At 40.3% G+C, this 26,685-nt stretch overlaps 1 protein-coding gene across 9 annotated transcripts in view, besides 2 other annotated features; it reads right to left on the bottom strand.

Annotated features, from left to right (window-relative positions):
- Positions 1-26,685, bottom strand: part of B4GALT6 (beta-1,4-galactosyltransferase 6) — a 102,396-nt gene that overhangs the window by 51,671 nt on the left and 24,040 nt on the right. For 4 of the 9 annotated variants that reach the window (XM_017026091.2, NM_001330570.3, XM_006722578.4 and 1 more), the window contains exon 1: positions 10,396-10,665. The exons of 1 other annotated variant lie outside the window; for it this stretch is intronic. In XM_017026091.2, coding sequence (XP_016881580.1) covers positions 10,396-10,413 — 18 coding nt within the window. In that variant the 5' untranslated portion in view covers positions 10,414-10,665. Of the gene's footprint in view, positions 1-2,594; positions 2,702-10,395; positions 10,666-11,813; positions 12,128-26,685 lie in introns of those variants that run through there. 4 more of the 9 variants (XM_047437943.1, NM_001378110.1, NM_001378109.1 and 1 more) reach the window with 2 other exon arrangements.
- Positions 7,356-7,565: an enhancer, noted in NCBI's record as "active region_13205". NCBI's record gives its function as "activates an Ori minimal core promoter by ATAC-STARR-seq in GM12878 lymphoblastoid cells {active_cell/tissue: GM12878}" and the evidence as "EXISTENCE:reporter gene assay evidence [ECO:0000049][PMID:35858748]".
- Positions 10,762-11,801: a silencer, noted in NCBI's record as "silent region_9385". NCBI's record gives its function as "represses an Ori minimal core promoter by ATAC-STARR-seq in GM12878 lymphoblastoid cells {active_cell/tissue: GM12878}" and the evidence as "EXISTENCE:reporter gene assay evidence [ECO:0000049][PMID:35858748]".

The raw sequence follows: 26,685 nt of genomic DNA on the forward strand, positions 1-26,685 counted from the left end.
CTCTCACAGACACACACACACAGACACACACACACACACGAAGGCAATGTGAAGACAGAGGCAGTGATGTGGCCACCAGGCACCTGAAGCTGGAAGTCGCAGAAGGATTTTCCCCAGAGCCTCCAGAGGGACTGTCCTGCCAACACCTTAATTTCAGACTTCTGGCCTCCATAATTCTGAGAAAATAAACTTGATGTTTTAAGCCAACATGTGGTAATGTGTTATGGCAGCCTTAGGAAAATAACATACCACCCCACGACAGGTACAACTTTCTCCATTAGAAGATGAGAAAACAAACTCAAAAGAAAGTTAACATAAGTAGAATTAAAAACTCAGGATTCAAGCACAAGCCGGAGTGACTCTGAGGGGAAGGGATTTGGAAGAAATGTTGGTTCAAGGCCACAGAGGAGAGGGAGAGACAAGGAAAAAGAAATCTTCATTGTAAAAAGTTATGAGGGAAGTGAACATATGAGAGATAAACCAGATTTCCTTTAATACAAAGAGGAGGAGAAAGCCAGAAGAGATCCTTAAAAGTTACAGAAGAGAAAATGATTTCCCATATTATCTACGGAACACTGGAAATAATATGGACAAAAGTGAAAATCTTAATGCACCACTCAATAATAACTACAGATATGTGAATCAGGTATCTCTTTCTAAGAATTTCTAAGAATTTATGATAATCTTCTAAGTATCTGTTTCTGATGCTGAAAATTTTTCTTCTTTCCACATCTAGCCTCTTGTTCAATAAATCCCCAAGAATTACTCATCCATGTGGGTAAAGGAAAATATGTTATCTTCAATAACAATGGTGTAAACCCCAAAGTTAGGCCAGATTATATATGAAATATTATTCATACTACACCTAGGACTAAGGAAGGTATTACTTGGATTAAAAACAAAAAATAACAAATGTCAAGGATGTGCCAGGCTGTTTAAAAAAAAAAAAATTCTTTTATGTCAAAGTACTATTTGACCATGGTGACAATAATTCAAAACCATGTATGAACTCAAGGAAATCTGCAGTGCAAATTATTACTAACATATAATATCCTTACCTCTACTTTTCAAGTTATAAGCTGACAGAGTCTGCAAGAATTCTGTGTTCAGAGCCCCACTTTATCAAACAACAAATACAATGATCACATACAGGAGATCTATTTCAGATCTTAGCTAACAACTCAAGCTTTGCAGATGCAAATACTAAAAACTGACAAGAAATTCTTTGTAAAAGGTGTCTTTACAATTTCCACTCTGCAGTTTAACAATTTTAAGTTATTTCTGGAGAATCTTTGTGTTTGAATACTGATCAAGGTTAAACATTTTTAAATGAAAACTGACTTTTCCAATGATCTTACTAAAAATGTTCAGGGTGGAAACATGTTTATCCACATGTTTATTGAGTGTCTGCCGTTTACCAAGCAATGCCAAAAGTTAAGGGGCCATCTGGCTTCCTCTGTAAAGAACCAAGATCCTGCAAAGGCACAAACTGTCTAAAACATCAGAAGGACTTTTCCAACAACCAGATCATTAGTTCAGCCTACTTTAACCCTAGTTGATAATTCAAAAAGTAGACTCTGAACCTAGTGATATGAAAACACTATCTAACAAAAGATAACTATCAGCCTTGTCATCTGCTAATGCACTGTGTAATTCACTTAAAATAATAACTATATAGCTTTTTTAAAGCATGACAGGAACCCTAAGAGAGTTATGAACCACACTGGGGAAAGTGGAATCAGGAGGAAATGAAGAAATCAAGGAAGGAAGAATGCAGGAAATTAAACAGATCTTAAAAATCTAATCAGGAAACTAACTTAATGACATTACAGACTAAAAGACCAAGCCATAAATAAGCAGGCCCAGGAAACATTATAAAATTGTTGAAAATTAGTGATGTCAGAGTATATAAGTGTACAGTATATAAGAAGTCTATCAAAATGAAGTAAAATGTGAACTATTTGAATATGTTTTATAATCACCTCCAATTTACTTGTGTTTTCACAATTAAAATACCTTTCAGAATTCCAACTTAGTATTCATGAAAGGAAAATGAGCCTAAAATGAGAATCAGAGAAGGGAACTGGGTAGGAAATGAATTTCAAAGACTTCCAAAGCATATTTTCAAATCAGTAAACAAGGCACCTTTTAATTCTCTACCTTTGGTCTCTTGATTCAAATGAAAATAATGTCCAATTTCTCTTCCTATGAGTCAAACTGAAAATTGCACTATAATTAGAAGTCATAATTTCTGAGCAATTAACTTAATTATCAGGAAGGCAATACACGTAACAAGATTTCAGTAAAATCATATTAACACTTGCCTCAAATATATAAAAACAGGCCATAGTATTCAATCAAGATATCATGTCATAGTAACAAACTTCATATAGCTACTTAAATATACCACTGTAAAGATATTATAAAAATGACTTTTCTAGCCAAATGCTAGGAAATGCTTTGAAATTACTTCCACTGAGTAACCTATAATGCTATCCAGTTTAATAAGTTTTATTGATCTTAAGTAAATTACAATGTCTCTAATAATTAAAAACACTAAATAACAAATTTAGGATGACCTAGGACCCAATCACCTAGTCACTGCAGACTCATAAAGGAACACATGATCCTGGTTGGTATGAATAATGTATCCGTCCATTTCTCTTCTGAAGGAAAAGATTCTTCACCATGACAGCCATCTCTATTGCCAGTAAAACATGATGTTATAAACAAGTTAATCAGGTTTTCAGTAAGTAAGATTAGTTCTATGAAATATCAAATGATGTAAGATAATCAATTTAGAAAAGTATGTAGCACTATTTTTTCCCCACCATTTGGGGTATTTTTCAGAAACATCGCTCCCAGTGTGCAGAAACATCTGGGTACGTGTTAAAAATTAATCAGAATCAGAATCTCCCATAAGACCTGGGAAATAAGCTTATTAAAGCATATCACCTTAAATAAACCTTAAGCACATTCATATTTGAAAACTATTTCTTGTAGTAATTCTCCACACATAACATTTGTAACAAGTAAAACAGTAGACCCTTCCTTCCAAATCAGTTTAACTTATATTAAATATATCTTCTTTTACATAGCTTTTGAATATACCACAATTCATTTGGACATAAGAGTATCTGTGTTTCATCCTTAATGAACACATAACACAACAATTTGGTGAAGCCAAAGACTTTCACTAATTCAAGTAATTAAACATAAAAACAAAGATGCAAGCAAAAAGCCATACTACACTTCTGGAGGAAAAAAAATAAAACATTAAGATTTGAAATTACTAAGTATATTTTCCTAAACATTTTGCTGTGCTTCACAGCCAAAAATATAATTACTGACATAAACATCCTTTAAGCTAACTCTCCTATTTCAACTGAGAAGGGGGTATTGCTGTATCTTAAACCAAACTCAGCTAAATTTTGCTAAAACCAAAAACAATTATGTCCACAGGCAGTCTAACCATGAAACATAGCAAATCAAACTGGCCTAATACAGGATGTAAATGCTGAAGAAAAACAGAATTGAGTGCCACCTGAAAGTTTCCAGTGGGCCCAAGATATGAGGTAAAAATATCTCATTATAACTGGAGTAAATGCTTAATTTTCCAAAGGCATGTTAAAGGCATTATGGGTATCCTCAGAAAACCTACTCTCAATCTTCACTTGAATCGATCTTCAACCTGAATCACTGTATTACTTGTATATTATTCTCTTTATTATCCTGACAAAAGGCAGAATTTGAATGAAAACATCTTTTAAATATTAAATCACCGTGTCCTTCAGGAATTAAAAAGAAAACACGAAACAGATTCAGAGGGACAAGGGGAAAGGAGAAAAGAGGAAGGGAAAGAGGTGGGGACAGCCAGCTTAGGCTGGCAAACCGCAGGCTCAGGCAGTGGTGACAAAAGCCAGCTTGGTCCAAGGCGGCCAAGAAAATGGACTAGAAAAAGAATGTTGCAAACATACAGGTCTGAGGAGCTCCCAATGGCGACCTAGGAAACCCAAGCTCTAGAAAAATCACTCCTCACACATGTCTCACCTCAGCCTCCCCTCCTACCTCCACATTTCTACTTAAGACAAACATGAAAGGCAGGCTTGAAAGGGAAAAGGAGTCACAAAAGACAGTGTGGGTGGCGGACAGGTAGAGGAGCAGGTCTGCCCTTTTGCAAGGTAAGCCAGGGTGCTGCGGAGTCTAAGCACACAGTATAAACACAGCACTGAGTAACAGTGTTTAAGGGAATCCAAGAGGTCTGTCCAGTATCCCAAACAAAGCACCCTCTCCAGGGTAATCACAGCTTTAAGAGGCGGTCATCTACCCTCACCTCACAATGTGTAAGGAAAGGAGCACTTATAAGGCCACTTATTTCACTGATTGCAGGTCAGTTAGAAGACTGGTCTTTTTTTTTCCTCTCTCTCTCTTTTCAATAAGCCTCAACTCTGCCTCATTGTAATTACCCTCACTGCTAACTTAGGCTATCCAAAAAATTTCATCGCTCGTCTATACAGTATTCCTTCAAACTGAAGAAAAGAGAGCTTGTATTTCCCCAAAATCTTCCATTGTCCAGGGCAAAAATAATTAGTTCCTTCAACTCGGGCACAGTAGAATGAGTCAGGAATCCTAAGGTGTACATTTCAGCTCTTCCAACAATGATGTGTGACACTTTCGGCAAGTGGCCATCTTCCAGAGCCTGTCCTTCCTTCTCTCATTTCACAGACAAGGCTAGCCCTACTGGCAAGGGGTCAGGGGTGTGGCAGGGAAGACATGGATCTCCAAATATGGACAACGCGGTGGGCTCTCTTTGGGATTTTGCTCTTGGGGCTGCTCTGCTCATAGCTCTGGCTCCAGAAACCAATGCTTCTATGCCCAAGTTTCCCCTGGCCTTGGGCCCTTGGACAGGGGGGCAAACGCAAGGGCTCTGAGGGTGAGAGGAAAAGCCACAGCTAGAACCATCAGAGATGAGGCCCAGAAGGACAAGTGCCCTGAGAAGCCCTGCAGGACAACCTGTGAGAAACAGGCTTTCCACAGGACGGGTTAGGAAATTAACTACTGTGTACCACACTGCCTCAAAAGGAAAATGCATTTTAGTCCCAACCAAATTACACGTAGTGTTTGGAATACCTATTACACACAGACACTACAAACCTAGGTGAGAAGTTTCTCTTCTGAAAGTAATCACAGACATGGCTATTTTTATCTTTAATAAACATTAAAGGCAGTAATGATAAGCACTGCTGCAGAAAAAAACACACCTCTGCCTCACTCTGCCACATTGTTTAACAGACTTCAAATGTATTTGTAAAAGGAAGGCTAAGGTGAAAAATAGCAGTTAGCATTGCCAGATTTCAATGAATCAAGTTTCCCTTCAATATTGCCTAATTTCCCACAAGGCCATGGGATTTGGATTAGTTTACACTGAAGAGATATAGCTGAGTCACATATGCTACTTAGGAATGGCAATCTGACTGTGGAAACAATCTCTAACTCATCTCTCATCTCTTGAGTGTGGAATGGACCCAATGACTCTTGTAACAAAGCTAGGGAGTGAGAAGGAGGGTAGCAAATCCCATCGGATACTTTCAAACTATACTTGGTCTTCCTCTGTATTCCAATTTAACCCGTGATTCCATGTTTCAGAGGAAGTCACACAGTGAGTCACTTCCAGTTGAAGGAGTGAGTTTTATTACTCAGATGTGTTGGAGGATAAATAAATACCATTCACCTACATGATGAAGACAATCAAATCTCTCTCCTGGGCAGCACGCCCTTACTTTCATCTGCCTACCTACTAATTCTTCCTGGATATCACACAGGGATCCCAACTCAATTTCTCTAAAAGCAAAATAGCCCCCCAAAGACGTGACTTTCTATACTCCCTATTAATAGCTACCTGAATGTCTAAGCTAGAATCCAAACCTCATGTTAAAGCTCTTCCTGTTTCTTCAAACCTACTATTCCCATCCATTCAACTCTGCCCTGATGAACTACCAACCTCGACAGTTCTAATCTTCTATTGGCCATTGCCCCCTATAACCCATCCTTCATGCTAGAAGGGTCACTCTAAGACAATGGACTGCATCGCTTTCAAGACTTCTGACATTTCCTGTTACTCACAGGACAAAAAAAGCATGGGACATGTGGCCAGTAAGGGAGGCCCAGAAAAAAGAGATGCCCAATACCATGGCCCTCCATGATATTCGGATACCAAATCCGAACTCCTGAAATGGGCCATGCAGATCAGAGCACTGGGTGAATAAAACTGAAAGACCTTTGAAACAAAGCAGACTATTAACAGCTCCAAAGAACACAGCCAGGCCCACTTGCCAGGGCCAGGAGGCTAAAGGGCTATGATAAGAAAGCTGCAGGGTTAACTAGCTACCTTCTGTGCTAGCCCAGGAAGAACCCCAGCCAAAATGCCAGAGGGACTCTGAGGAAAGGACCTAAGATACCTCTCCCACAACATACATGCTTGCACATAGACCCCACACTTTGACTACCCATCGCCATCAGCTCCACCATTTCCAGCAGGGCACACACCCCAGGGAGGCCCAAATAACAAAGCACTCAGCCAGATAATTCCTCCAAGGGCCCAGAGGAAGTCAGACCAAAGTGGCCCAACCAGATTTCACCTCTACCCAGAGAGCAAAACAGCCCGTCAGTGTGTCTAGGAAAGGTCAGGGCTTCTGGTGAGTCAAATGGACAGTGAAATCCCCACTCCCAGGGAAGTTATGTAATCTCCTCCCATTATATAGCCCCACTGATTACAGGCACTATCAATTTATTTTGTAATCACAGAAGCTTTGATAAAGCTGTATGAACAAAGACCAGTCTCTCTCTGCCAGGAATTTTAGAGACCTCAAGCATCTGAACACCATGGCTGGACACTGGAGCCCCAGAGACCTTTCAAAACCTGGCCCATGTGCCACTCCAAGCCCTAAGCAGTAGCTGGATGGAGCTACTCCCATTTTCTAGAAGCTTTGCTCATGCTGTTCCCTCTGACTAGGATCCCTTTGCTCAGTCCAGATAAATCTCATCCATTACATTTCAACCACTTTCTCCTCTGGAAATCCTTAACCAGCCCTCACTTCCCACCACATGCCTTCCAAGGATTTACTACAGCAGTTTTATGGGGCTCAGCCCATTGTACTATGACGGAAGAAAATGAGCCTTAGTCATCTATCTTCCATACCTCAATGTCCAGCCTCTCTTGGGTGCACAACTCCTATTGTTGAATGAACTTGTAAGTCAGCTCATCTTTGATATGACAGCAAGAAAATGACTACGTTATATTGGAAGTTATATTAATAAAGGTTTCCTATTAAATGCAATTCTGTTCTCAATCCAGCCAAGTCAAAACCTTGGAGAGAAACTGCACTCATCTTTGCAATCATGCACAAAGGTAGACACAGAATAAGAAATAATTTATGGCTCTGGCCTCTAGGGGTGGGCTACAGCAATCTGTCCATGGACTTCCTATGGTGTGGTGATGGGGCAGGTGTCTGCCATCCAGTTTCCCTGAGTACTAAGGTTTATAATGTAAAGACTATCCCTGTGTTTCCTGTATGCATTAGACACTTCAAGAAAAATGGTTCCTTGAAAATAATGAGCTTTGAGTTCTATGGAACTCACTGTAGTTGACCCAAATAGTCCAGAAATAGACTATTTCAGAGGAACATCTGAAAACACTGGAAACTAAACAGATTACGCTGCCTACAACTGTGTGATGTATCTGCTCAAGATGGCAAAGAAGAGGAACTAAAATGACAGAAGATCTACCTGGGAAGAAAGCCCATGACATACACAGGGCTCAGGACAGAAAACAAGTAGGGAAAGAGAATTAAAGTTTACCAAACAGGTTGATATGGTAGGATTAATAGGAATTTCTTAACAGAGGAGATTTGAAACGCTTTTTAGGGCACATAAAAAGTACTTACAACATACATTTTAGTCATAAACACATTTTGCCCCAAGATGTAATTCAGGCTAAAATATGAATTATTTTCTTGAAGTTATTATTTCAAGAAAAATCCACATACATCGAATAAAAACTAGTTATAAGAACCTAATTACTTCTGGATATGTCTCATAAATAAGAAATCTGAAGCACTTGTGCAATTGATTGATTGCTGCAGTATGGACTCAACAAGCCACATTTTTCATGGAACATCATTTTTACTTGAAAGAACAACTGAAAAACTATGGTTAAACTTGTGCATCTGACCTACATTTTCTCGAAAATGAGCAAAGTGAGCCTGACACTTCAAGAAAAACTGACAGTATTTGTTGCCAATGATAAAATTCAAACTTTCAAGCGAAAATCTGAATTTTGGAAAACTGCTTCCCAATACTTAAAGATACAAAAGATTAAAAAGGAGGCTTTTTTTGGCTAAATGGTACAGGGTTTTGGAAACAGATTCAGCTTGACAATTTCACAGCATTTTGTAAGTTTTTGGTTTGCACTCTTCTAACTGGTTTTAATAACTTATTATCATTTATAAGACCTACAAAAACAGAGTAGGTTAAGCCACATCAATCTAATTGCCTACAAGACACGTGCCAACATTTTTACATTATATCAGTGACCGTTCTATGGCAAACATTAAGCATTCAAATAAGGAAAATTTATTAGTGTTTCACACAAGTTGAATTAAGAATCTACAAATAATATACTGACGCACTAACTTTAAAAAAAAAGGGATGACTAGAATTCTGATTTCCTTTGGTTAGCTTTTTGAGTAATATAACTTTAACATGTTACTCATAATACTAAGAAAGTGGGAAAATTGTTATGTAAGTGTGAAAAAAACTTTCTCCAAAATCTTTCAAAGTTAAATTCCTAGTAAAAAAACATACCCCAAAGATGTCCAAACTTTTAAAGAGTTACATGAGAAAGTAAAAATTGCTATAGAATGAAGAGTTAATTTATAAGACTCCAAAATGGCAAAAAATAAAGAAAGCTCTTGTTGAGTATCTAGATAATATCAAATCCACTAAGCTACCACTGTCATTTGTACTATAGGCTTCAAGGGGTAGGTTTTTGTGAGGTTTTTTGTTTTTTCTGGCCTAAAGGAAAACTGCAATAATGTTAAAATATTCTTCAAACTTTACCCTAAAACTTCTATTTTGGGATACGTCAACGTTTCACAATGCATTTCTTCTTAAACATCATCATCTGAGTTTATACACCTCACTGAATCCAAAAATTAATTATTAAAGAAAAAGTCTCATAGTAATTTTAAGAAATGAAGCAGTCTGGATTAGGTTTCCATCTTCCTTCCCTGCTGCAATTCACTGCAATAATCTACTACACTCAAGACAATGCCCTGATCATTCCATCTGAAAATTCTGCAGGTGTTTTCACTCTGTAAGGGGCATTACATTTTTAGCTAACTCGGAACAAAGAGCACTGGCTCAAACGACCACAGTGTGTAAGGAGAAATGAGAGGAGATGCTCACTGTTACTAAGTAATTGAACATTAAATACGTAATAGCCAGGAAAAACTCAGAAAAGTTTTGGAAATATGACATATTTTAATATGCATGTGAAGTTCATAATTCTCATTCACTAGAATTAACGCCGCATTGGCTCCTTTTCAACAAATGGGGGACGAGGAATTCGGATATTTAATAAAGAAGTTAATTCAAGCAGTTTTACAAAAGTGTATTTTGCACCAAAGGCCAAAAAATGATAAACCGGTTAACATTTTAAACTACAAGTTCCCTTAGATAACGGTTATTTTAATCACTATTTTCTCAGAAGTCATCCTAACAGGTAGCAAAGGCAACGTACCCTTGAAAATAACACCCAAGCAGACTAAAATAATGGAGCATTGTTTTTACAAGACAACTCATCGCCTTAAAATTCCCCAAGTATGGCACAAAAAGAATGGGGTCCACTGACCCCATTCTAAAAAAGCGACCTAGGACCCTAGAAAACACACATTGTTGGACTCAATCACATTCCCTGCTGCTGGCTCCTCCATATTTTTACAACCAGTTATTATACCCGAGAGTGTTTGAATAAAACTACGATTAAGCACTCAGTTTAGGCTTAAAGACTTAACATTAAATGGATAAAGCTGTCATGAACACTCAAGAAAGCGACTAGGGCATCCCGGGCCATCACACTAATTTTGCTACGTCTATTTAATGCAATCTTTTACGTTATTAACAAACATGCATTAACAAAATGCATGCATTAACAAAACTCACATACCAAAGCCATGCCCTGAAGCAGTTTGACACGTCTGAAATAACATTTAAAACAAAACGCTTTTCTGCGGGCCCCTGTTTGAACAGCTTCCAAATCCCAGAAGTAACATCGGATAACAGCCTGCGCTGGCTGTGGTGTGACCAGGGGAAGCGAGGGTGTGTCTCGGTGCTTACCGATGCCTGGGGCCACATAGATGAAGTACAGACAGGACGAAGAGAGGGAGAAGAAGAAGATGAAGGCGAGGAGAGAGCGATTGGAAACCCGCATCATCCGCCTGAGCACAGACATCTTCCTCTTCCCTGCCAGCAGCCCAGGCTGCGCTCTCAGGCCGGACTCGGGGCCACTGTCCAGGCCCTAAACTTCCATAAATGTGCTGAGAACCCCGAGACTGCAGCGGGGTCCGCGCGGGGAGGCTCTGGGGAGAGGGCCCGAGCGGAAAAGAGGAAATGGGAGGGAGCGGACGGAATGAATGGGAGGCCAGAGAGTCGGGGGAGGGGAGGCGCGGAGGCCGAGGGACAAGAGGTGGAGGGGGGAGAGGGGACTGGGGGCTAGGGGCCCGGGGACGGCAGGACGGAAGAAAGCCGGGGAAGGGCGAGGAGGAGCGTTTTCTCCGCCAAGCAGCGGCGGGAGGAGGGGCTGCAGGTGGGAGGAGGCGCAGGCTGCGCGCCGCGGCGCCCCTGCGGAGAGGGGCAGCTAACTGCAGCACGCCCGGCTCCGCTGCCCGCGCCCGGCGGGGTCCCGCCGCGAAGCCCCGTGCTTAAGGTCCGGGCCGCCCGCGTCCGCTCGGCAGGCCCTGCGCCGCCTCCTACTCCGGGCCGCGGCGTCTCCTGCCTGCGCGGGGCTAGCGTGGGCGCCGGGGCCGCAACCAGCGCGCGCCACGCGCGGGGGCCCGCGGGGGCCCTCGGGGCCGAGGAGCTGGGCGCTCGCCTGCACCGAGCCGCCTCCTCATGCCGCGCCGGGCCCCGGCGCCCCGCGGCCGCCGCGGGAGCTGAGCACAGGCCAGGGCGGCGTCCCGGCCAGCGACGAACGCGCTCCGACTCCGGCCGCCGCCAGCTGCCTGCCTGGCCGCAAGGGCGGCAGCGGCATTACCGCCGCGCGCCCGGGGTGAGGCGCCCCCGCCGGGCCCGCGGACACCAGGCGAAGAGCAACCGGGCGACGCGCGCTGCGGGCAGAGCCGGGGAGCCGGAAGAGCAGAGGCCGAGCGCCGTCGGAGCCGCGTCTGGTTGGAGAAAGAGGCGGACGTGAAGGGGCGGGGGAGCCGCGGAGGAAAACCGGGACCGGCGGGAACGTCTCGAGACCCCTGCGCGCTTCGCGCGCTCGCTCGGAACTCGGCAGGCGGCGCTGCGCCGGGCCCCGAGGAAACCTGGAGGTCCCCGCCCTCCCCGCGCCCGAAACACCGCGCGTCCTGATAGGCCCGCGCCCAGCAGCCCCCTCCCCGCGCCCGCCGCACCGGGGCCCCACCGCCTCCTGCGTCACCGCCGCCCCCGCCCGCCCGGGGACCCCGCGGTGACCGCGCTGCTGGGGGTTGAGGGACGCGTTGCGAGCCCCGGATACATTGTACCCTGGGGGTACATAATGAAGGATGCTGTACCTGAAAGGAAAAGGGCATCTCCAAAAGGGGACTTCGCGGGTGGAATTTCCTTCCAAAATCCTCGAGGAACAAGGTGTATTTCCGACCTGGATTAATGAATCCCCCCTCCTATCCCGCACTTCCTGTGGAAACAGTGTCAGGATGTGGCGCGGACCTATGTGCGTCCCTTATACCAGGACTTGCCTTCAACGCTGAAGGTGAACCCTGGGTCATCCTCGCTGTATTCAGGCGGCGCTGCAAAGGCTTCTGGGCAGCCAATAGGCCCTTGAGCGCCTCAGCCCCATCTTGCTTCAGTAGGCAAACGGACGGGTGTCTTCATCCACCTCCTAGGCCGTGGTCTACCCTTCGTTCAAATGTTTCTTCCTGCTAGCTGACTGTCCAGGTCCTTAGCTGTATCACATTGTTCAAATGTGTGTGCGCAGGTGTTTCTTTTTCAACTAATCATGCAGGAAGTGGCGGGATGCCTTACTGCCATTATTTGCTGAGTATTTCCAGATGGAACTGTAGTTGATAGCCAATAAATTTGGTACGTTTTTATCGGGATGCGCATGCCATAGATCGTCCCTGAGATAATGCTTTGCAATGTGGAACCTGAAACACCTATGTATAAGCCCAAGCCTTTCATTAATATTAACTGTGAGACCCCTGGAAGCTACTACTTTGTGTGAGCCTGTTTTCTCCGCCCTCAAACAGTGGATATAATACCCCCTTGCAAGGCTGTGAGATTAAATGGATAACTGTGCATAATGCTAAGCATGGTGTCTGGGACGTAAGAGGTTCCTTATATCCCATTAGTTCACTAGGTGGGATCACCAAGTTGAAATTCATTTTTTAATATTTTGCTTGTTGGAGTACTCACAACTCAACTTCTCTGGCTAATTTGATGTTTAATTTGAAAGGTAATGACACTATTTTGTAACATTTTTAGATGCTTAAGGGAAATTTGAAATGCAAAGTGGAACAACATTAAAAGGAAACTCATTTGTAAAATAAAGAAAAACAAAATCTATGCAAGCCAAAGAAGTCATGAATGCTGAGGAAGCAAAAATTGTGATTTTCCCCTCTCCAATCCCACTGTTCATTTATCTTTATTTGCATCAGTTAGACTGGTTGTTTACAAAGCTAATACCACCATACCACTAGTCAAAAGAGAGTTCCATACCTTTGCTGACCTAGTGGTAGACCATTCTTCTCAGGCAAGGTTGGCTTTTTCAAAGGAAAGTTTACTATAAACTGAGAGAGAAGTAGTAACATTATAGAATTTGATGATTCATCTATAAGAAATCTGAAGACTGTACAGATGAACCTAGCTGGCATAGATGACTGCCATCGGTTTCTCCCCTAATTTTAACCCTATCTCTTGATTTCTCTTGTTCGGCAAGTGTCCCCCACGGTACTTGTTAAGACTGATTAGCTCTCCCCAGGAGTAGACTTTTATCTGTTGTACCAGAAAACAAGCCTAGTCGGTGCAGCCATTGTTGTGAGGATTAAATTAAATGAATTAATGCCTGTAAAGAGCATGGGAGAGGCTGGTACATGGTAAGCACCATTCGAGTATTTGTAAAATATATTTTTAGAAATCTCTCCTTGCAGTCACTCTCTGTCCACAGTAACAAATGATGGTTGTCTCTTTCTGCTTAAACACCAAATTTCCTAGTGGGTCACCCATTAAGTCTGTCTCTCATAGTCTGAGGGATGCCTCAGGGTCTCAGCTCATGTTTAAAACAGAGATAGATTAAATACTCAGTGCACAGGAAATGCTAACTGAGCCTTTCCAAACCCACAATATCAACTGATATTTCCTCAGGAGCCAAGTAAGCCCCATAACAGAGGAATGACCTTGCAGAAATCTAAAAGTCTATTTTTTAATGCCATTAAAAAGATCTTAATCCTGTAATAGTGAGACATAACTTACAACAGTAAGACAGAAATAAATTTTATTTAATGGCTTTGTTCTAAGTTTATTACCACCAAGTATTCCTTTTATTATTTTCTGTCCACTAGGGACACCGTGCTCTTAAATATTTGGGTATCAAACTGAATAAATTAAATCATAATTAATGGTTTTCTAGTTGTATTAATAAGAAGTATACACAGATTGCAACTGAAAAAAGAAAAATGTACTTGTTAATGAGATGGATGATATTTTACTTAGTCTGTGCTGACTGAGTGAGGATGAACAATATACACTGTGTTTTGAATTTGCTTGTGAGCATGGTAAAATAAAAATATCTAATTTTTTTCAGTGAATTGGGGGGAAGAAATGAAAGAAAATAGTGTATAGAATCTCTTTTATGGTAGCTAAAGATTCAGATCTTCATGTTACAATCACTGATTAAAAATAGTAATTATATCTGTTTAAATGCATAGTCTCAGCATCTGAGACTCAGCTAAAGAAAATTATTGGGTTGATGAATTATGCTTAGACAATTGAATTTGTATTTATATAATTGTAGATCATATAAAAGACATTGGCATGATTCATAAAATGGAATATTTATATACATATAATTGAGTGTATATATATATACATATATATATATACACACACACATATGTAATTCCAAAATGTTGTGGTACAGATACTTCTCAAAAATTTGTATTGTGAATATGATCAGATCTCTGGTGAGAAAAAAGATATTGGTCCCTGTATCTTATTTAGATTATATAAAAGAAATTTTAAATGTCTTACATTTCAGAACAAATATGATCACTTTAAAGCCAAATTTTAATAATTCTATATATATGAAATAATATAGAACTGTATGATAATTCTGTATTGTAGTTAAAATTTTAAAAGAAAACCACTGTAGTGGTAGCAGCCCTACTTCAGCATTTGACCCAAATTTCTTACTAATCTCAAAGTGCCTGAACTCTTTGATCTTAGATCCAAGATCATTCTTTCACATCATGCAAATGTCCTAGCATTTTCAAGCATTCCAACCACTTTGATATCATTTTCACAACATCCCTTTGGGGTTGGTATGGCAAGTATTATTATGTCCTTCTGAGATGAGGAAGCCAAAGCTCGGGAGGTAAAATACCGGGCCTGAGGTCACACAGTATAAAGGTAGCAGAGCTGGGAAGAAAGCCCAGATGTTATCAGCCTACTTCAGTGCCCTTACTACAAACCACACCAGCTCTTATCTTCACACACATTATTTTGCCTATCAGGGTAAGTGTTTTCTTCATGTATTTTTTTCATTTTTTAGAAATAAATATATGTAATCCATCTTCCAAACTTTCTTTACCAATTTTGCCTTAAACATCTGTGCCAAGAAACTATATAAAGTGTACTACATGGTACACTGACAGGGGAAAAACTGGTACATAAAGTGAAGGCCCGACTACTATCTAGTCCTTGCTTGTCATCAGTTGGTAAGTCAAAACGAGAAAATTAATGGATGGTGTTAGCTTTATTCATTCTTTTTCTCAGCTTAATGCTAGGTTTATTCAGTAGATTGCTGGTTTTGCCTTACAGGGAACCTGAGCTGCCAAACAATAGCCACTGACTGGACTCAAGGCCAGCAAATCCTAGGCCGACTGGAAAAAGAAGCCAGCCCAACAGAAATGAGAATTTGTTCAGAAAACTATGGGGGTGGAAGGTGGGAGGGCAGACAAGGAGAAGCAAAGATGAAAGATTGATAGAGTCCAGTCACAGAACATGGTGCCCAGTGCCTTCCATGGTAAGGGATGATACTTAAGCATTCACCAGGGTAAATAGAAGAGGCTGGGCCGGGCGCAATGGTTCATGCCTGTAATCCCAGCACTTTGGGAGACCAAGGCGGGTGGATCACGAGATCAGGAGTTCAAGACCAGCCTGGCCAATATGGTGAAACCCCATCTCTACCAGAAATATAAAAAATTAGCTGGGCATGGTGGCGCACACCTGTAGTCCCAGCTACTAGGGAGGCTGAGGCAGGAGAATTGCTTGAACCCGGGAGACGGAGGTTGCAGTGAGCCGAGATCACACCACCGCACTCCATCCTGAGCGACAGAGCAAGAAAAAAAGAAAAAAAGAGGCCACCTTCACCAGCTTGAGGCTTAAGCTGTGTGGGTCCCAGGCAGCCCCCTGAAGGTTGAGGGAAATCAGTCTTGGCACCTATGTAACCCAGACACACAGGGCACCTTAGGTATTGTGCATACCAGCTGGGCAACTCAACCCTAGAGAGAAAGTTCGTAAACTTGGCTACTGAACAGACAAAACAATATCCACAATACTAGATCTTCCTTGAATTCTACGCAGTGTTACTCCTGAGAATCTCGAGAGATAGCTTTCTTGTGGACACGTGCATCTTTATTAAAAGGATAAAAGAACTATTACTTGACACAGTTCAAAAGAATTAACTTATTATGGCCAAAATAGCCTACCTTCAGTCATTTAATGTTTTGGGAGTTTTTTGTTTGTCTGTTTTATTGAGACAGACTCTCGCTCTGTTGTCCAGGCTGGAGTGCAGTGGCATGATCTCTTGGCACACTGCAATTTACGCCTCCTGGGTTCAAGCAATCCTCCTGCCTCAGCCTCCCGAGTAGCTGGGATTACAGGTGCCCACCACCATGCCTGTCAAATTTTTTATTTTTAGTAGAGACAGGTTTTCACCATGTTGGCCAAGCTGCTCTCAAACTCCTGACCTCAGGTGATCCGCCTGCCTCAGCCTCCCAAAGTGCAGGGATTACAGGTGTAAGCCACCATGCCCAACCCCTGCAGTCATTTAATATTTTGTTGTTTTTGTTTTGTTTTGTTTTGTTTTGCTTTTGAGACAGAATTTCACTCTTGTCGCACAGGCTGGAGTACAATGTCACTATCTTGGCTCACTCTAACCTCCGCCTCCTGGGTTCAAGCGCTTCTGCTGGCCTCAGCCTCCCAAGTAGCTGGGATTACAGGCACCCACCACCACACCCAGTTAATTTTTGTATTTTTAGTAGAGACGGGGTTTCACCATGTTGGTCAGGCTGGTCTCAAACTCCTGACCTTAGGTGATCTGCCTGCCTTGGCCTCCCAAAGTGCTAGGATTACAGGTGTGAGCCACCATGCCCAGCCCCCAGTCATTTAATGTTTTAAAAAGTCATTTTCTTACTACATAGCCATAAAAAAGAATGAGCTCATGTCCTTTTCAGGGTCATGGATGAAGCTGGAAGCCATCATTCTCAGCAAACTAACACAGGAACAGAAAACCAAACACCGCATGTTCTCACTCAAAGTGGGAGGTGAACAGTGAGAACACAGGGAGGGGAACACCACACACCGGAGCCTGTCAGTGGGGTGGGGGGCAAGGGGAGGGAGAGCATTAGGACAAATACCTAATGCATATGGGGCTTAAAACCTAGATGACGGGTTGATAGGTACAGCAAACCACCATGGCACATGAATACCTATGTATACCTGCATGTTCTACACATGTATCCCAGAACTTAAAGTAAAATCTTTTAAAAAGTCATTTTCTGAACATGATTCTATTTTGATGATATGTGTTACTATCCTAGAACCTAGTACAAAAACAGGGCAATAAATAATTATTGGATCAGTGGATTAACATAGTCTTAACCTCTTACATAATTTTACATATATATATATATATATATATATATATATATATATATATATATATATATATATTGCTCTGGGTTTTGTGTAATGGAATACAAGTTAGTTCACCTTAACTCATCCAGAGCATATTATCAAAAGAGCCATCTTCATAGGCGAATGACTCACAAAAGCAAAAGATAAAATATATAGATGAAAGATAGTATACTATGAAAGTACCCTTTTATCATATCAAGAATCTTATACCTGTAGCCAACAGAAGCAATTCAAGAAATGTAATTATGATACAGAGTATAGTTTTTAATGAAGAATATTTCTAGACCATTTTCTATTCATTTATTATCATATTTAATGTCATAAGGCTCATAAGATTTTCTCAGTCTGTTCTTTTAATGACTAAATCATTCTGGGGGGAAAATAGTTTCTAAGCTTTAATGGGTTAATAATGAATTAAGATATAGGATTCAGGTAAATTTGATAAAGGATTTCAGTATTTCTGTGTCTGAAATGTTTCTGTGTCTGAAACAGGAATTCTGGACTAGCAACGTCCTCTCTTAAGCTAAAATCCACAAGTTTATGGTCACAGGAATGATTTAAGTTACTGTAAAAAATAAGAAGTTTAGGTATATCAGAGCTATTCAAAAGAGAGAAAGAAACTGACCTTTTCAGTCAGCAAAGTATTAATAATACCAATTTGCCATGACCAATAAGGAACAACTAGAAATGGAAGCACCTGGCAACATTAAGCAAATTATTAACATAATTCAACATATTAGGTCAAAGAAAAAAATACAGTATCTTTTCTTTTTTAGAATAATTGTATAATATTCTAAATATCTATTATCCTATTATTTGTTAATGAACATTGCTTTTCAATTTGAGTCAACAATAAATTGAACTACCGTAAACATATGCACATGTGCATGCATTTCTGTTGGTTATATATTTAGTAGTCAAAATTGTAGATTTTATGATGTGTGACTACTCAGATTTAAGAGATGCTGGCAAACACTTTCCCAAACTGGTTTTACCAATTTATGCTCCCACCAGCAGCATTTAAAAGTTCAAGTTGCTCGCATTCTCTTCAGTACTTCCTATAGTCAACCCGATTTTACTGTTACCATTTCAGGTAGAATGTAGTGATGTCTCATTTTGGTTTTGATTTGCACCTTTCTAAGAGCTAATGGGATTGAGCAATTTTCATACACTTTTGGCTTACAATGTCTTTTATAGAGGCTAGGAAGCATTTGATATGATTAAACAATTTCTGATATTAAAACTTCATAAAATAGGGATAAAAGGATGTGTTCTTATTTTGTAAAGAGCTATCTTAAACAAGTTACATCAACATGATTAATGTAGAATCATCTCCATTCAAATAACAAAAAAAGACATGATTGGTAAGAATTAGCTAACGCATATGGATGAGAAAATTAAGAGGTAAAAGTAAGGGAAAGAAAGTTATAAAAATTATTGTTATTTGTAGTTTATGCTCTTACCCCCAAAAATAATTCACTAGAAAACTCATTAGAACTAACAGAAGAGATTGATACAGAATCAATCAAGAAACATATGCACACTTACCCAGTTTAGCGTGGGGATATATTCCTAGATGTTAGGGCTCTAACTGAACTTACTTATATGGGGTCCTGTAGTTTCTATGGAGATGTAATATAGGTATTGTACTTAAGTGATTGCTTCATCCTCAGTTTTTAGCAATGTTTAGAATGTCCTTCAAAATGTCAAAGACTTCTACCAATCTCCTAATTTTCTTTATTCTCTGCTTCCTCAAATATTTCCTTAAAAGCATCACAAGTTGGCAGAAAACGTGTGTCCTCAGCTACCTCCTGATTCTCTGCCTTGTTTGTACCTTAACTTTGGAAGTCAATGCATATAAAAATGATTTACTAGAACTCAAGACTGGAAGGAGAGGCTGAGGCAGAGAACACGAGAACACAACACACATTGTGGAACCACTCAGCTCAGGATGGTTTGGCCTTTGTTTATTGCTTGTGTACACCAGTACACAAGTACACCGGTACATCACTGGTGGAACATATGATGGCACTCAGTGCATGGAGAAAAGTCCTATTAACAGAATGTCATAGATGAATATGTAAATAGCTGTTACACATATGGCATATTCTACTTTTTAAAATATCATAAAGACAAACAGCAAATGGGAGATATAATATACCTAATTATATTACAAAATTAATAAAATATTATAGCTTACTTTATGCAAATGTTAACATGAGATCATATAATAATAACCAAAAGATCCTAAGTGCAGTAGCAACAAAATATACATAATACTATAAATAAACTGAAAAGGAAATATACAAAACTAATGTGAAGAAAGAACTCAACAAAGTGAAGACAAAAAAGAAGGCTTGAAAATGTAAAGGGCTGGCTGGGTACAGTGACTTATGCTTGTAATCCTAGCACTTTGGGAGGCTGAGGTGGGAGGATTGCTTGAGCCCAGGAGTTCAAGACCAGCCTGGGCAATATAGTGGGACTCCATCTCTATAAAAAATGCAAAAATTGCCCAGGCATGGCAGTACACGCCTGTAGTCCCAGCTACTCAGGAGGCTGAGGTGGGAGGGTCACTTGAGCCTGGGAGGTTGAGGCTGCAGTGAGCCATGATCATGCCACTCCAGCCTGGGAGACAGAGTGAGGCTCTATCTTAAAAAAAGAAAATACATAAATAAGTAATGAAAAGGATAGGAAATTCAATACTATAAAGATGTTAATTCTTCCTAAATGTAACCATGAATGTTGGAGAGTAACCAAGCTAGAGAATTATAATCACTTATCTTAAAATAGGTCAAGGCAAGACAGTAAGCATGCCTCCATGGCAAGAGACAATACCCTTACCATAACAATATTTACAATCACGACCAATTATGTTTCCAATATTCTTCACCTGACTAGGCATGAATAATATGCCTGAGAAAGAAGATTAATCTATCTATAAATAAATGAAGTCTTTCCTTCAGGAAGATGTAAACAGGAAGAGCTTCCAGACTAGTCTGCTAGAGTCTGAAACAGAGATCAGTACATATAAAAAAGACTTGCCTTTGTAGGTGGAAGTACTACTGCTTGCATTAAGCACAACACTTCTTTCCTTACCCAGAACACAAATGTGTCCCAAGCAAGACTGAATATCTTTAAACACACCAACCTCTTCAGGACAATGGAGCACTAGATAAAGAACAATCGCTCAGAGTCTCTCTAAACTCTGCAGTTAGTTGAAACAGCCAGTATACCAAGGAGAGGCCATGAAGTGACTTCAGTCAAAGGCCTTTGCTATAAAGAACGAAAAGTGCCTGTAGGACTTTTGTTCACAGGATATTTGCAGCAACTGGCCATTATTACTGAGTTATAATTGACTTAGGTTGTAGTCCTGATATAAGTTGTCTTAAAATAACTTCTTTCAATAGAAATGTTCCCTGTTTTTGCTATATGATAGAAAATTTTCAACTGAAATATCACTTTACCAACATGAAATTTCAAAAAAAAGTGTGTAACTGTGAAACCAAGAGCACAAAACAACTCAAATTTTATCCATCTACATTTCACATACTAGTTATCCCAGACCCTATTTGTCTTTAAACTGTTAATGGTAGAATAATTTTAGAAATATGAATTGCATAGTGATTAATACATAGATATTTCATTTTAAACATTCTTGATTGAGTTCCTGACCCCTGTCTATAAAATGACATTAAAATATTCTAGGAGACTTCATCGTATAATAATTCTTAAGAATCATGCTATACTACGGAGAAGGAATATTAATGCCATGAAGTACAAATCATTAAAATAAAGCAGGACTGACTTTTTTCCTATCTTTGAGAAAAAAAATTTCCCACTGCCACAGAGAAAATAGGCTAGAACAAAAGTATTACACGGGTAGCAGGAGGAAAACTTGTTAAAGGAGGGACTGGCAGAAGGTGGTTTCCAGTTTAAACTAATGAAATAAAAATAGTTCTGCCACTTCTCCTCCCTGAAATTAAAAAAAAAAAAAAATCTTCAAAGATGCCAGAAAATGCCTAAAATCCTGAATAATTATGTATGAAGAAAGCCTGGGAATATTGTCCCCACAGTCAGGGAGAATGCCAGATGAAGATTCCTGCTCAGTACACTTGGGACACAGCAGAATTCTTTGTAGTGGAACCCCCGAGAGGCAAAACAGCCACTGCCTCCTGTAGGAGAGGCCATATCTAGGCTGCCTGGACCTCTCTGACCTCTTTTGACCATGCGGGAAGGGAAGAAGTTTTCAACCAACAATGCATAGACACAACATTTCTGTAAGAAGCAAGCTACTGATGTGCAATGAGAGGCAAAACCTTGGATCATCTTACAGCCCTGAGCTGCCAATTTTTGTAATCTGAAGAGTAGTGAAAGCTAAGGCAAAGGTAAACACACTAGAAAACTATGTCATATGGAGATTCATGGAAAAAATAGTGCAACTTCTTCCAACCAGGTTAGAATCATGCCACAAGGCAAAATGTCAGTGAGAAAACTTTCACAGGCAACATCTTGTAATCCAGCTGCTCCTCAGGTACACTCCCTGGCCCATACCTCCAAATAGACCAGGAATAACTCCATTCGAAGCAGAAATAACCAAGAAAGAGCCAGGATAAGACACAAAAAGAAGAGGAAGAAAAAGAACATGACATATGAAAGGTAGATAGCCAAATGCCAGAAAGATTATATCAAGAATGAGATTGAAATCGATTTTTTTAAAACTTCAAATGAATTTTACACACACACAGACACACAATCCCTGGGAAACATGGAGAGAGAGTTAGAAGGGTTCACAAAAGCTGATGCAAAGAGAAGAACAATATCATCACAAAAATCATGGGCACATGGAGAGCAGACATAAAAAGGTAACAGATGTTGCTGAAAACACAATTAGATGTGAGATAGCAGGCTTGAGATAATTGAGCAAAGTAAAATGATAGAGAAAAAATAAATATGGAAGACAGGTAACATGATCCATCATACGCGTATTTGGCATTGCTGAAGAAGAAAACAAATGCAATAGAAAAAAGTTCAAAAATACAATTAAACTAAAAAGAAGGAGGCCCTCCATTCCATTTAGATTCTCTTGGCTTATTTTATTCCTATCAAGTCTTGCCTTTGATTTATCAAGTTTTACTTCATTGCCTTTTCTTCTTTTTCACTTTTCTACATTCTATTATTTTATTGATAATCTTCAAATTTTTAATGTGTAAATTTTTATTATTTTTAAGTAGTTCTAAAATTATTGGTGTCTGTTTCTCAACCAAAGATATAGAACAATTTAGCTTCTCTCCAAATAGTCTCCATTCCATATAACATGCCATGCCTACTATTTCATTTCAATTTGTTTTAAACACCATCAAATTGCTTTCAGGAGTAATAGGTAGATTTTTCTAAGAGGTTTTACCCATTTCTCTTCTCTCTATGGCATTTTAGATCTGTTGCTTCATGTGGGCTTATTTTCTTCCTTCCTGCAGTATAGCCTTTATAGTTCTAATAGTAAAGGTCTGTGGATATTAAACCCTGAGTCATTTAACGCAGAAATGTGTCTTTATTTTGCCCTCACTACTAATGATTGTGTAGTTGAGTCCAAGCTCGTACCACTCACAGCACAATAGCCAATTAGTTGAGAGACAAAGTGTTGTGGCAAGGCAAGTGACTTTAAGAGAGCCAGCTAGGCCAGGCGCGGTGGCTCACACCTGTAATCCCAACAAACACTTAAGGAAGCTGAGGCAAGTGGATCACTTGACGCCAGGAGTTAGAGACCATCCTGGGCAGCATGGCAAAATCCCATCTCTACTAAAAAATACAAAAATTAGCTGGGCATGGTGGTGTGCACCTGCAGTCCCAACTACTCAGAAGGCTGAGGTGGGAGGATCACCTGAGCTTGGTAGGTAGAGGATGGCTGAGATTGTGCCCCTGCATTCCAGACTGGGCAATGGAGTGAGACCCTGTCTCCCCCACCCTGAAAAAAAGAGAGAGAGAGAGAGACAGAGAGCCAGCAAATGGAGAAGATGGCAGGCAGACTAATGTCCTAAAGAACCATCATGAGTTAATAGAAATTTCAGACTTCTTTAATGTTAGAGGAAGGGGGAAGAGGGAGGGGGTTGAGGTACAGAGGTGACCAGTGATCACAGACATCTGGGTGGCAGCGAGGGTCGGGGGTGGGTTGAGAAACTCTGTCCTTTGTCCTTGCTCCTAGAAGTCTTTAACATAACATTGTTACTTATTGTTACTTGTGTGTACACTCTCGTTATCTCTCCGGGTTAGTTTAGGGGGAACTATTATCATCCTTGCTTTAAAGTTAAACTACAAACTAAATTCCTCCCATAGTTAGCTTGGCCTATGTGCAGAAGAAAGAAAAAGCAGTTAACCTAAAAATATCACATGGATGAGGGGGCTAGGAACAAAATGGAGTTAGTCACGCTAAGCCTCCTTTTCACTGTTATACATTGTTAGCTTGGTATAGAAATGTAGGTTGATGGGTTTTTTTCCCCAACCTTTGAAGATATTATTTATTTGTCTTATGGTATCTATGGCTGCTATTTGTCTAATTATCATTCGTTTGTAGATAATTTTCTATCACTATTACAGTTTTTTTTCTGATGTTCTGTGGTTTCAATATCTTGTTTCTCAATAATGTGTTTTCATTTATCCTGGTAGAAACTCAGTGTTATGATGTCTTTCTTAAAGTCTGGAAAGTTCTCAGCCATTAGTCCTCTGACTATTGCTTTCCCCTCATTCTCTCTATAGGCTCCTTCAGGGATTCTATTTGGCATATGTTGGATCTTCCCATTCTCTGCCTGTCTTTTGCCTTCTCTTTTAATTTTCCATCTCTTCATCTCTATATGCTTCATTCTGTGTTAGATTCTCAGCTGTATATTTAATTCAATTATTGCCTTACTTTTCTCTTCTTGTTTTTGACCTTTTGACCTTGTTTTGACCTATCAAGAGGAGGCTTCCCTCTTAAATACTCAGTCTACCATCTTACAAGAAGTTGAAATCTTAAATCAACAGGCTCAAAGAACACAACATTGGCCAGTCACAGTGGCTCACATCTGTAATCACAGCACTTCACTTTGGGAGGCCGAGCAGGCAGATCACTTGAGGTCAGGAGTTCAAGACCAGCCTGGACAGCATAGTGAAACCCTGTCTCTACTAAAAATACAAAACAATTAGCCAGGCATGGTGGTGCACACCAGTAATCCCAGCTACAGGAAGGCTGAGGAAGGAGAATCTCTTGAACCCAGAAGTTGGAGATTGCAGTGAGCCAAGATCGTGCCACTGCACTCCAGCCTGGGCAACAAAGCAAGACTCTATCTCAAAAGAAAAAAAAAAAAGGAAAAAACACAACATGTACCAATAAAAAATTAATATAGATTGATGACCACTAACCAGTATACTCAGTAAATAGCAGAAAGGAAAGCATCTTAAGGGCATCCAAGCAAAAAAAGGTCAGCTCATTAAAAAGAAAAAGTAAGGCCGGGCACAGTGACTCATGCCTGTAAAGCCCAGCACTTTGGGAGGCCAAGGTGGGTGGATCACCTGAGGTCAGGAGTTTGAGACCAGCCTGGCCAACATGGCGAAACCCTGTCTCTATTAAAATACAAAAATTAGCCAGGTGTGGTGCACGCCTGTGGTGTCAGCTACTTGGGAGGCTGAGGCACAAGAATCACTTGAACCAGGGAAGTGGAGGTTGCAGTGAGCTGAAATGGCACCACTGCAGCCTGGGTGACAGAGCCAGCCTGGGTGACAGAGCAAGACTCTGTCTCAAAAAAAAAAAAAAAGAAAGAAAGAAAAAGGAATTCTTTTCTGGCTTTAACGGCTCAGACTTCTCTACAGGAACATTGAATTCTACAATAATTTTCAGAAGTAGTCATCAGGGAAAGAAAACATCATGTAAAAATTTTATACCCACACATATCGTTGCTTAGAATAAAGGCAATAGACAGATATTTCTTTCTTTCTTTTTTTTTTTTTTTTGAGACAGATTCTTGTCCTGTTGCCCAGGCTGGAGTGCAATGGTATGATCTTCGTTCACTGCAACCTCCACCTCCTGGGTTCAAGCGATTCTCCTGCCTCAGCCTCCCAAGTAGCTGGGATTACAGGTGCACGCCACCACGCCTGGCTAATTTTTTGTATCTTTAGTAGAGACAGGGTTTCACCATGTTGGCTAGGCTGGTCTCAAACTCCTGACCTCAGGTGATCTGCCTGCCTCGGCCTCCCAAAGTGCTGGGATTACAGGCGTGAGCCACCACGCCCGGCCTAGACAGATACTTTCAAACATCAAAGAAATCAGGAAATACACTTCCCATGAGTCTCTTCCTGGAAAAAAAAAAAAAAAAAAAAAACCTGCTATACGAGAACTGTGGCTCTCAAAGTGCTAAAGGAAGAAACAGTGGTGACGAGAATAATGGTGACCATTGAATCAATAGAAATTTAGAACGAACAAAGACTGAACAATGAGGTTATTGTACATAAAGTGTAATAACTCAGCTCACTAAAATAGGGAGGAGGAAGCAAAGAGAAGATAGACAGTAGTTATGTAAGTTTATTGGTTTCCCCATCTATCATAGAAGGAAGAAAAGGAATTGTTTAAAGCTGATTAGTCAAGTAATAGAGATCTAATATGTTTGAAAATAAAGAGGAAATTACAAAATAATTATTTTAACCCAGCAAAATCAGATAGTGGGAAAGAAGAAGGATCAAAAACAGGCAAAACTAATCTATGAATTATTTTTGGCAGGTTACTAACTGGGAGAGAGCAAGAAAGCATCTCCCAGGATCCTGGTGGTCACACATAAAGAATCATCAATCTCTACTCATAAGAGGTGTGTCCTTTACTGTATGTATATTATAACTCAATACATGTTTTTAATTCAAAGAAGTTAAGTTCTTAAAAACTGTTCAGCAAAACTAAAGAAATGAAAAAAATAGAATAGTAGAAGAAATATAATTTATTCTCCTTAATCTAAGAAAGCCACATAGACAAGAATAAGATATAGAGGAAGCAAATGATATAATCAAGCATGTAGATCTAACTAAAATATATGTGAAACTTCATACTCTGTGAAAGAGAATATACTTTTGCTTCAAGTGCTTATGGGACATTTATAAAATTGACTATTTGTGTGTGTGTGTGTGTGTGTGTGTGTGTGTGTGAGAGAGAGACAGAGTCTCGCTCTGTCGCCCAGGCTGGAGTGCAGTGGCACAATCTCAGCTCACTGCAAGCTCTATCTCCCAGGTTCGCGCCATTCTCCTGCCTCAGCCTCTCAAGTAGCTGGGACTACAGGT

The sequence above is a fragment of the Homo sapiens genome, chromosome 18 (genome assembly GCF_000001405.40).
Source record: "Homo sapiens chromosome 18, GRCh38.p14 Primary Assembly".
NCBI lineage: Eukaryota > Metazoa > Chordata > Mammalia > Primates > Hominidae > Homo > Homo sapiens.